Genomic DNA, 12,880 nt, shown 5'->3' with positions numbered 1-12,880 from the left:
GGGTTGCAAAACTGCTCTATGAAAAGAATGTTCAACTCTGTGAGTTGAAAGCAAACACCACAAACAAGTTTCTGAGAATGCTTCTGGGCAGTTTTTATGTGAAGATATTTTCATTTTCACAATAGGCCTCCAAGCGATCCAAATGTCCAATTGCAGATTCTAAAAAAAGAGTGCTTCAAAACTGCTCTATCAAAAGAAAGGCTCAATTCTGTGAGTTGAATGCTCACATCACTAAGGAGTTTCTGAGAATCCTTCTGTCTGGTTTTTATGTGAAGATATCCCGTTTCCAATGAAGGCATTAAAGTAGTCCAAATATCCACTTGCAAATTCTACAAAAGAGTGTTTCAAAACTACTCTATGAAAAGGAATATTCAACTCTGTGATTTGAAAGCAAACATGACAAAGAAATTTCAGAGAATGCTTCTGTGTGGTGTTTATGTGAAGATATTTCCTTTTTCACCACAGGCCTCAAAGTGCTCAAATGTCCACTTGCAGATTCTATAAAAAGAGTGTTTCAAAACGGCTCTATTAAAAGAAAGGTTCAACTCTGTGAGTTGGATGCACACTTCACAAAGAAGTCTCTGTGTATGCTTCTGTCTAGTTTTTATGTGAAGATATCCCGTTTCCAATGAAGGCCTCAAAGTGTTCCAAATATCCACATGTAAATACTACAAAAAGAGTGTTTGAAAACTGCTGTAGGAAAATTAATGTTCACCTCTGTGAGTTGAAAGCAAACGTCACAAGGAAGTTTCTGAGAATGCTTCTGTGTAGTTTTTAAGTGAAGATATTTCCTTTTTCACCATAGACCTCAAAGCTCTCCAAATGTCCACTTGCAGATTCTACAAAAAGAGTGTTTCAAAACTGCTCTATCAAAAGAAAGGTTCAACTCTGTGGGATGAATGCACGCATCACAAGAAATTTCTGAGAATACTTCTGTGTAGTTTTTATGTGAAGATATTCCCTTTTTCACTATAGGCCTCAAAGCCCTCTAAATGTCCACTTGTAGATTCCACAAAAAGAGTGTTTCAAAACTGCTCTATTAAAAGAAAGATTCAACTCTTTGGGCTGAATTCACTCATCATGAAGAAGTTTCTGAAAAAGCTTCTGTCTATTTTTTATGTGAAGATATTTCCTTTTTCACCATAGCCCTCAAAGCACTCCAAATGTCCACTTGCAGATACCACAAAAAGAGTGTTTCTAATCTGCCCCATCAAGAGTAAGGTTCATCTCTGTGAGTTGAATGCACTCATCACAAAGAAGTTTCTGAGAATGCTTCTGTCTAGTTTTATGTGAAGATATCCCGTTTCCAACGAACACCTCTAAGCGGTCCAAATATACGCTAGCAAATTCAGCAAAAAGAGTGTTTCAAAACTGCTCTATGAAAAGAAAGGTTCACCTCTGTGAGTTGAATGCACACATCACAAAGAACTTTCTGGGAATGCTTCTGTGTAGTTTTTATGTGAAGTGATTTCGTTTTTCTCCTTTGGCCTCAAAGCGCTCCAGATGTCCACTTGCAGATTCTACAAAAAGATTGTTACAAAACTGCTCTATCAAAAGAAAGGTTCAATTCTGTGAGTTGAATGCATACATCACAAAGAAGTTTCTGTCAATGCTTCTGTCTAGTTTTTATGTGAAGGTATTCCTTTTCCAACGAAGGCCTCAAAGTGGTACAAATATCAACTTCCAAATTCCACCAAAACAGTGTTTCAAAACTGCTCTATGAAAAGGAACGTTCAACTCTGCGAGTTGAAAGCAGACAGCACAAAGAAGTTCCTGAGAATGCTTCTGTGCAGTTTTTATGTGAAGATATTTCCTTTTTCACTATAGGCCTCCAAGCACTCAAAAGTCCACTTGCAGATTCTACAAATAGAGTGCTTCAAATCCGCTCTATCAAAAGAAAGGTTCAACTCTCTGAGTTGAATACACACATCACAAAGAAGTTTCTGAGACTGCTTCTGTCTAGTATTTATGTGAAGGTATTACTTTTCCTATGAGGGCCTCAAAGTGGTAAAAATATCCACTTGCAAATTCCACAAAAAGTTTTTTCAAAACTGCTCAATGAAAAGGAATGTTCTACTCTGTGAGTTGAAAGCAAACATCAAAAAAAAGTTTCTGTGAATGCTTCTGTCTAGTTTTTAAGTGAAGATATTCCAATTCCAACAAAGGCCTCAAAGTGTTCAAAATATCCACATGCAAATACTACAAAAAGAGTGTTTCAAAAGTGCTGTAGGAAAATTATTCTTTAACTCTGTGAGTTGAAAGCTAACGTCACAAAGAAGTTTCTGAGAATGCTTCTGTGTAGTTTTAAGTGAAGATATTTCCTTTTTCACCATAGATCTCAAAGCTCTCCAAATGTCCACTTGCAGATTCTACAAAAAGAATGTTTCAAAACTGCTCTATCAAAAGAAAGGTTCAACTCTGTGAATTGAATGCAAGCATCACAAAGAAGTTTCTGAGAATACTTCTGTGTAGTTTTTATGTGAAGATACTCCCTTTTTCACTATAGGCCTCAAGGCACTCTAAATGTCCACTTGCAGATTCTACAAAAAAAGAGTTTCAAAACTCCTCTATTAAAAGAAAGGTTCAACTCTCTGAGTTGAATGCACTCATTACAAAGAAGTTTCTGGAAATGCTTCTGCGTAGTTTTTATGTGAAGATATTTCCTTTTTCACCACAGGCCTCCAAGCACTCCAAATGTCCACTTGCAGATTCTACAAAAAGAGTGCTTCAAAACTACTCTATCAAAAGAAAGTTTCAACTCTGTGAGTTGAATGCAAACATCACAAAGAAGTTTCTGAGAATGCTTCTGTGTAGTTTTTATGTAAAGAGATTTCTTTTTTCTCCATTGGCCTCAAAGCGCTCCAAATGTCCACTTTCAGATTCTACAAAAAGAGTGTTACAAAACTGCACTATCAAAGAAAGATTCAAGTCTGTGACTTGAATGCACTCATCACAAAGTCGTTTCTGTCAATGATTCTGTCTAGTTTTTATGTGAAGGTATTCCTTTTCCAAAGAAGGCCTCAAACTGGTACAGATACCGACTTGCAAATTCCACAAAAAGAGGGTTTCAAAACTGCTCTAAGAAAAGGACTGTTCAACTCTGTGAGTTGAAAGCAAACAGCACAAAGAAGTTTCTAAGAATGCTTCTGTGCAGTTTTTGTGTGAAGATATTTCCTTTTTCACCACAGGCCTCCAAGAGCTCCAAAATGTCCACTTGCAGACTCGACAAAAAGATTGTTTCAAAACTGCTCTATCAAAAGAAAGGTTCAACTCTGTGAGTTGAATGCACACATCACAAATAAGTTTCTGAGAATACTTCTGTGCAGTTTTAATGTTTAGATATTTCCTTTTTCACCATAGGCCTCAAAGGACTCTAAATGTCCTCTTGCAGACTCTACAAAAGGAGTGTTTCAAAACTGATCTATCAAAAGAAAGATTCAACTCTGTGAGTTGAATGCACTCATCACAAAGAAGTTTCTGAAAATGTTTCTGTCTAGTTTTTATGTGAAGATATTTCCTTTTTCACCATAGCCCTGAAAGCGCTCCAAATGTCCACCTGCAGATTCTACAAAAAAAGTTCTTCAAAACTGCTCTATCAAAAGAAAGTTTTGTCTCTGTGAGTTCAATGCACATATCACAAAGAAGTTTCTGAGAATGCTTCTGTATAGCTTTTATGTGAAGATAGCCCGTTTCCAACAAAGGCCTCTAAGCGGTCCAAGCATACACTAGCAAATCCAGCAAAAAGAGTGTTTCAAAACTATTTTATGAAAATAAAGGTTCAACTCTCTGAGTTGAATGCACACATCAGAAAGAAGTTTCTGTGAATGCTTCTGTGTTGTTATGAGAAGAGATTTCGTTTTTCTCCATTGGCCTCAAAGCGCTCTAAATGTCCACTACCAGATTGTACAAAGACTGTTTCAAAACTGCTATATCTAAAAAAAGGTTCAACTCTGTGAGTTTAATGCATACATCACAAGGAAGTTTCTGTCAATGCTTCTCTCTAGTTTTTATGTGAAGGTATTCCGTTTCCAACAAAGGCCTCAAATTGGTACAATTATCGACTTGCAAATTCCACAAAAAGAGTGTTTCAAAACTGCTCTAAGAAAAGGAATGTTTAACTCTGTGAGTTGAAAGCAAACATCACAAAGAAGTTTCTGAGAATGCTTCTGTGTACTGTTCATGTAAAGATATTTCCTTTTTCCCACAGGACTAAAAGCGCTCAAATGTCCACCTGCAGATTCTACAAAAAGAGTGTTTCAAAACTGCTCTATCAAAGAAAGTTTCGACTCTGTGAGTTGGATGCACACAGCACAAAGAAGTTTCTGTGAATACTTCTGTATAGTTTTTATGTGAAGATATTTACTTTTTCAACCAAGGCCTCCAAATGCTTCAAATGTCCACTTGCAGATTCTAAAAAAAGAGTTTTTCAAAACTGCTGTATCAAAAGAAAGGTTCAACTCTGTGAGTTAAATGTACACATCACAAAGTAGTTTCAGAGAATGCTTCTGTCTGCTTTTTATGTGAAAATATCCCGTTTCCAAGGAAGACCTCAAAGTGGTCCAAATATCCACTTGCAAATTCTAAAAAAGAGTTTCAAAACTACTCTATGAAAAGGAATGTTCAACTCTGTGAGTTGAAAGCAAACATCACAAAGGAGTTTCTGAGAATGCTTCTGTGTAGTGTTTATGTGAAGATATTTCCTTTTCCAAAACAGGCCTCGAGGCGCTCAAATGTCCACTTGCAGATTCTACAAAAAGAGTGTTTCAAAACTGCTCTATCAAAAGAAAGTTTCAACTCTGTGAGTTGGATGCACACATCATAAAGAAGTTTCTGTGAATGCTTCTGTCTAGTTTTTATGTGAAGATATTTCCTTTATCACCATAGGCCTCCAAGTGCTCCAAATGTCCACATGTAGATTCTACAAAAAGAGTGTTTCAAAACTTCTCTATCAAAAGAAAGGTTCAACTCTGTGGGTTGAATGCACACATCACCAAGGAGTTTCTGAGAATGTTTCTACCTGCTTTTTATGTGAAGATATCCCGTTTCCAATGAAGGCCTCAAAGTGGTCGAAGTATGCACTTGCAAATTCTACGAAAAGAGTGTTTCAAAACTACTATATGAAAGGGAATATTCAACTCTGTGAGTTGAAACCAAATATCGCAAAGAAGTTTCTGAGAATGCTTCTGTGTAGTGTTCATGTGAAGATATTTCCTTTTTCACCACATGCCTCAAAGCGCTCAAATGTCCACTTGCAGATTCTACAAAAAGAGAGTTTCAAACCTGCTCTATCAGAAGAAATGTTCTAATCTGTGAGTTGGATGCACACATCACCAAGGAGTTTCTGAAAATGCTTCCTTCTGCTTCTTATGTGAAGATATCCCGTTTCCAAGAAGGCCTCAAAGTGGTCCAAGTATTCACTTGCAAATTCTACAAAAAGAGTGTTTCAAAACTGCTGTAGGAAAATTAATGTTCAACACTGTGAGTTGAAAGCAAACGTCACAAGTAAGTTTCTGAGAATGCTTCTGTTTAGTGTTTATATGAAGATATTTCCTCGTTCACCACAGACCTCAAAGGGCTCAAATGTCCACTTGCAGATTCTACAAAAGGAGTGTTTCAAACCTGCTCTATCAGAAGAAAGGTTTAACACTGTGAGTTGGATGCACACATTACAAAGAAGTTTCTGTGAATTCTTCTGTCTAGTTTTTATGTGAAGATATCCCGTTTCCAACGAAGACCTCAAAGTGGTACTATTATCCACATGCAAACAATACAAAAAGAGTGTTTCAAAACTGCTGTATGAAAATTAGTGTTCTACTCTGTGAGTTGAAAGCAAACGTCACAACGAAGTTTCTGAGAATGTTTCCGTGTAGTTTTTAAGTGAAGATATTTCCTTTTTCACCATAGACCTCAAAGCTCTCCAAATGTCCACTTGCAGATTCTACAAAAAGAGTGTTTCAAAACTGCTCTATTAAAAGAAAGATTTAACTCTGCGAGTTGAATGCACTCGTCACAAAGAAGTTTCTGTAAATGCTTCCATCCAGTTTTTATGTGAAGATATTTCCTTTTTCACTAAAGATCTCAAAGCGCTCCAAATGTCCACTTGCAGATTCTACAAAAAGAATGTTTCAAAACTGCTCTTTCAAAAGAAAGGTTCATCTCTCTGAGTTGAATGCATACATCACAAAGAGGTTTCTCATAATGCTTCTGTCTATTTTTTATGTGAAGATATCCAGTTTCCAACGAAGGCCTCTAAGCGGTCCAAATATACACTAGCAAATTCAGCAAAAAGAGTGTTTCAAAACTGCTCTATGAAAAGAAAGTTCAAATCTGTGAGTTGAATGCACACATCACAGAGAAGTTTCTGAGAATGCTTCTGTGTAGTTTTTATGAGAAGAGATTTCGTTTTTCTCCTTTGGCCACAAAGCGTTCTAAATGTCAACTTGCAGATTGTAGAAAAAGAGTGTTACAAAACTGCTCTATCAAAAGAAAGTTTCATTTCTGTGTGTTGGATACACAAATCTCAAATAAGTTTTTGAGAATGATTCTGCCTAGTTTGTATGTGAAGATATCTCATTTCCAAAGACGGCCTCATAGTGTTCCAAATATCCACATGCAAACACTACAAAAAGAATGTTTCAAAACTGCTGTAAGAAAATTAGTGTTCAACTCTATGAGTTGAAAGCAAATGTCACAAGGAAGTTTCTGAGAATGCTTCTGTGTAGTTTTGAAGTGAAGATATTTCCTTTTTCACCGTAGACCTCAAAGATTTCCAAATGTCCACTTGCAGATACTACAAAAAGAATGTTTCAAAGCTGTTCTATCAAAAGAAAGGTTCATCTCTTTGAGTTTTATGCACACATCACAAAGAAGTTTCTGAGAATACTTCTGTGAAGTTTTTATGTGAAGATATTCCCTTTTTCACCATAGGCTTCAGAGCACTCTAAATAGCCAATTGCAGATTCTACAAAAAGAGTGTTTCAAAACTGCTCTATCAATAGAGAGGTTCAACTCTGTGAGTTGAATGCATACATCACAAAGAAGTTTCTGTCAGTGCTTCTGTCTAGTTTTTATGTGAAGGTATTCCGTTTCCAACGAAGGCCTCATAGTGGTACAAATATTGAAATGCAAATTCCACAAAAAACGGGTTTCAAAACTGCTCTAATAAATGCAATGTTCAACTCTGTGAGTTGAAAGTAAACAGTAAAAAGAAGTTTCTGAGAATACTACTGTGTAGTTTTTATGTGAAGATTTTTCCTTTTTCACCATAGTCCTCCAAGCCCTCCAAATGTCCACTTGCAGATTCTACAAAAAGAGTGTTTCAAAGCTGCTGTAACAAAACAAAGGTTGAACTCTTTCAGCTGAATGCATACATCACAAAGAAGTTTCTGAGAATACTTCTGTGTAGTTTTTATTTGGAGATATTCCCTTTTTCACCATAGGCCTCAAAGCACTCTAAATGTCCACTTGCAGATTCTACAAAAAGAGTGTTACAAAACTGCTCTATCAAAAGAAAGGTTCAACTCTGTGAGTTGAATGCATACATCACGAAGAAGTTTCTGTCAATGTTTCTGTCCAGTTTTTATGTGAAGGTATTCCTTTTCCAACAAAGGCCTCAAAGTGGTACAAATATAAACTTGCAAATTCCACCAAAAGAGCGTTTCAAAATTGCTCTATGAAAAGGAACGTTCAACTCTGTGAGTTGAAAACAATCAGCACAAACAAGTCTCTGAGAATGCTTCTGTGCAATTTTTATGTGAAGATATTTCCTTTTTTACCATAGGCCTCCAAGCACTCTTATGTCCATTTGCAGATTCTACAAAAAGAGTGTTTCAAAACTGCTCTATCACAAGAAAGGTTCAACTATGTGAGTTGAATGCACACATCAGAAAGAAGTTTCTGAGAATGCTTCCATCTGCTTTTAATGTGAAGATATTCCGTTTCCAATGAAGGCCTCAAAGTGGTCCAAATATCCACTTGCAAACACTACAAAAAGAGTGTTTCAAAAGTGCTCTATGAAAAGGAATGTTCAACTCTGTGAGTTGAAAGCAAACATCACAAGAAGTTTCTGAGAATGCTTCTCTGTGGTTTTTAAGTGAAGATATTTCCTTTTTCTCCATAGGCCTCAAAGCTCTCCAAATGTCCACTTGCAGATTCTACAAAAAGAGTGTTTCAAAACTGTTCTATCAAAAGAAAGACTCAACTCTGTGAGTTGAATTCACTCATCACAAAGTAGTTTCTGAGAATGTTTCTGTCTGTTTTTTTGTGAAGTTATCCTATTTCAAATGAAGGCCTCAAATCTATCCATATATACACTAGCAAAGTCAACAACAAGGGTGTTTCCAAACTACTCCATGAAAAGATAGGTTCAACTCTGTCAGTTGAAAGCACACATCAAAAAGAAGTTTCTGAGAATGTTTCTTTGTAGTTTTTATATGAAGAGATTCGTTTTTCTCCTTTGGCCTCAAAGAGCTTCATACGTCCACTTGCAGATTCCACAAAAAGAGTGTTACAAAACAGCTCTATCAAAAGAAAGCTTCAACTCTGTGAGTTGAATGTACACATCACAAAGAAGTTCCTGAGAATGCTTCTGTCTCGTTTTTATGTGAAGATATTCCGTTTCCAACGAAGGCCTCTAAGCTGTCCCAATATCCACTTGCAAATTCTTCAAAAAGAGTGTTTCAAAACTGCTCTATCAAAAGAAAGTTTCAACCCTGTGAGTTGAATGCACACATCACAAAGAAGTTTCTGAGAATGCTTCTTTCTGTTTTTTATGTGAGGATATCCTGTTTCCAATGAAGGCCTCTAAGCCTTCCAAATATCCACTTGGAAATGCTACAAAAAGAGTGTTTCAAAACTGCTCTATGAAAAGGAAAGTTCAACTCCGTGAGTTGAAAGCAAATATCAGAAAGAAGTTTCTGAGAATGTTTCTGTGTAGTTTTCATATGAAGATATTTTCTTTTTCACCTCCGACCTCAAAGCGCTCAAATGTCCACTTACAGATTCTACAAAAGGATTGTTTCAAAACTGCTCTATCAAAAGAAAGGTTCAACTCTGTGAGTTGAATGCACACATCACAAAGAGGTTTCTGTGAATGCTTCTGCCTAGTTTTTATGTGAAGATATTTAATTTTTCACCATAGCCCTAAAAGCGCTCCAAATGTCCACTCGCAGATTCTACAAGAATAGTGTTTCAATATTGCTCTATCAAAAGAAAGGTTCATCTCTGTGAGTTGAATGCACACATCAAAAAGAAGTTTCTGAGAATGTTTCTGTCTAGTTTTTATGTGAAGATATCCCGTTTCCAACAAAGTCCTCTAAGCGGTCCAACATATACTTGCAAATTCAAAAAAAGAGTGTTTCAAAACGACTCTATGAAAAGAAAGGGTCAAATCTGTGAGTTGAATGCACACATCACAAAGAAGTTTCTGATAATGCTTCTGTGTAGTTTTTATGTGAAGAGATTTCGTTTTTCTCCATTAGACTCAAAGCCCTCCTAATGTCCACTTGCAGAGCCTACAAAAAGAGTGTTTCAAAACTGCTCTATCACAAGAAAGTTTCAACTCTGTGAGTTGAAAGCATACATCACAAAGAAGTTTCTGTCAAAGCTCCTGTCTAGTTTTTATGTAAAAGTACTCTGTTTCCAACGAAGGCCTCAAAGTGCTCCAAATAACCACATGCAAATTCTTCAAAAAGAGTGTTTTAAAACTGCTGTGGGAAAATTAATGTTCAACTCTCTCAGTTGAAAGCAAACGTCACAAGGAAGTTTCTGAGAATGCTTCTGTGTAGTTTTTAAGTGAAGATGTTTCCTTTTTCACCATAGGCCTCAAAGATCTCCAAATGTCCAATTGCAGATTCTACAAAAAGTGTTTCAAAACTGTTAAATCAAAAGAAAGGTTCAAATCTGTGAGTTGAATGCACACATCACAAAGAAGTTTCTGAGAATACTTCTGTGTAGTTTTTATGTGAAGATATTCCCTTTTTCACTATAGGCCTCCAAGCATTCTGAATGTCCACCTGCAGATTCTACCAAAAGAGTCTTTCAAAACTGCTCTATCAAAAGAAAGATTCAACTCTGTCAGTTGAATACACTCATCACAAACGAGTTTCTGAGAATGCTTCTGTCTAGTTTTTATTTGAAGATATTTCCTTTTTCACCGTAGGCCTCAAAGCGCTCAAAATGTCCACTTGCAGATACTACAAAAAGAGCGTTTCAAAACTGCTCTATCAAAAGAAAGGATCATCTCAGTAACTTGAATTCACACATCACAAAGAAGGTTCTGAGAAATCTTCTGTCTAGGTTTTATGTGAAGATATGCCATTTCCAAAGAAGGCCTCTATGCTGTCCAAATATACACTAGCAAATTCAACAAAAAGAGTGTTTCAAAACTGCTCTATGAAAAGAAAGGTTCAACTCTGTAAGTTGAATGCACACATCACAAAGAATTTTCTGAGAATGCTTCTGTCTAGTTTTTATGTGAAGATACTTCCTTTTCCACCATAGCCTTCAAAGTGCTCCAAATATCCATTTGCAGATACTACAAAAAGAGTGTTTCAAAACTGTTAAATCAAATGAAAGGTTCAACTCTGTAAGTTGAATGCACACATCACAAAGAAGTTTCTGAGAATGCCTCTGTCTTGTTCTTATGTAAAGTTATTCCCGTTTACAACAAAGGCCTAAGAGTGCTCAAAATATCCACTTGCAGATTCTACAAAAAGACTGTTTCAAAACTGCTCTATAAAAAGGTATGTTCAACTCTGTGAGTTGAATGCAAACATCATAAAGAAGTTTCTGAGAATGCTTCTGTCTAGTTTTTATGTGAAGATATTTCCTTTTTTACCATAGCACTCAAAAAGCTCCAAATGTCCACTTGCAGATTCTAAAAAAAGAGTGTTTCAAAACCGCTCTATCAAAAGAAAGGATCAACTCTGTGAGTTGAATGCACACATCACAAAGAAGTTTCTGAGAATGCTTCTGTCTAGTTTTTTTGTGAAGATATTCCCGTTTCGAAAGGAGGCCTCAAATGGGTCCAAATATTCCCTTGCAGATTCTACAGAAAGAGTGTTTCAAAACTGCTCTATGAAAAGGTGTGTTCAACTCTGTGAGTTGAATGCAAACATCACAAAGAAGTTTCTGAGAATGCTTCTGTCTAGTTTTTTTTGTGAAGATATTCCCGTTTCGAAAGGAGGCCTCAAATGGGTCCAAATATTCCCTTGCAGATTCTACAGAAAGAGTGGTTCAAAACTGCTCTATGAAAACGTGTGTTCAACTCTGTGAGTTGAATGCAAACATCACAAAGAAGTTTCTGAGAATGCTTCTGTCTAGTTTTTTTGTGAAGATATTCCCGTTTCGAAAGGAGGCCTCAAATGGGTCCAAATATTCCCTTGCAGATTCTACAGAAAGAGTGTTTCAAAACTGCTCTATGAAAAGGTGTGTTCAACTCTGTGAGTTGAATGCAAACATCACAAAGAAGTTTCTGAGAATGCTTCTGTCTAGTTTTTCTGTGAAGGTGTTGCCTTTCCCACCATAGCCCTCAAAACGCTCCAAGTTTCCACTTGCAGGTTCAAAAAAAAAGAGTGTTTCAAAACTGCTCTATCAAAAGAATGGTTAAACTCTGTGAGTAGAATGCACACATCACAAAGTGGTTTCTGAGAATTGTCCTGTCTAGTTTTAATGTGAAGATATTCCTTTTTCCAACAAAGTCTTCAAAGTGCTCCAAATATTCATCTGCAGATTCTACAAAAAGAGTGTTTCAAAACTGCTCTATCAAAAGGAAAGTTCAACACTGTGAGTTGAATGTACACATCACACAGGAGTTTCTGAGAATGCTTCTGTCTAGTTTTTTGTGAAGATATTCCCATTTTCTACAAAGGCCTCAAAGCGGACCAAATATCCACTCGCAGATTCTACAAAAAGAGTGTTTCAAAACTGGCTATGAAAAGGTATATTCAACTTTGTGAGGTCAATGCAAAAATCTTAAAGAAGATTCTGAGAATGCTTCTATCTATTTTTTATGTGAAGATATTTCCTGTTCCACAATGACCCTAAAGGTGCTCAAAATGTCCACTTGCAGATTCTAAAACAAGAGTTTTTCAAAACTGCTCTATCAAAAGAAATGTTCAACTCTTTCAGTTGAATGCACACATCACAAAGGAGTTTCTGCAAATGCTTCTGTCTAGTTTTTATGTGAAGATATTCCCGTTTCCAAGGAAGGCTCCAATGCACTCCAAATATCCACTTGGAGATTCTACAAAAAGAGTTTTTCAAAACTGCTCTATCAAAACGAAGGTTCACCTCAGCGAGCTGAAGTCACACATCACAAAAAACTTTCTGAGAATGCTTCTTTCTAGTTTTTATGTGAAGATATTCCCGTTTCCAATGAAGGTTTTGAAGCGCTCCAAATATCCAACTGCAGTTTCCACAAAAGAATGCTTCAAAAATGCTCTATCAAAACGAAGGTTCAAATCTGTGAGTTGAAGGCACAAATCACAAAGAACTTTCTGAGAACGCTTCTGTCTAGTATTTATGTGAAGATATTCCTGTTTCCAATGAAGGCCTCAAAGCAGCACAAATATCCACATGTAGATTCTACAAAAAGAGTGTTTCAAAACTGCTCTCTGAAACGGTATTTTCAACTCTGTGACTTGAATGCAAACATCACATAGAAGTATATGTGAATGTTTCTGTCTAGTTTTCATATGAAGATATTTCCTTTTCCACCATAGTCATCAAAGTGCTCCAAATTTCCACTTGCAGATTCTACAAAAAGAGTGTTTCAATACTGCTCTATCAAAGGAAATGTTCAACTCTGTGAGTTGAATGCACACATTGCAAAGAAGTTTTTGAGAATGCTTCTGTGTAGTTTTTATGTGAAGATATTTCC

Source organism: Homo sapiens, chromosome 10 (genome assembly GCF_000001405.40).
Source record: "Homo sapiens chromosome 10, GRCh38.p14 Primary Assembly".
NCBI lineage: Eukaryota > Metazoa > Chordata > Mammalia > Primates > Hominidae > Homo > Homo sapiens.
The sequence above is the reverse complement of the archived record's forward strand: the minus strand, read 5'-3'. Positions refer to the sequence as shown.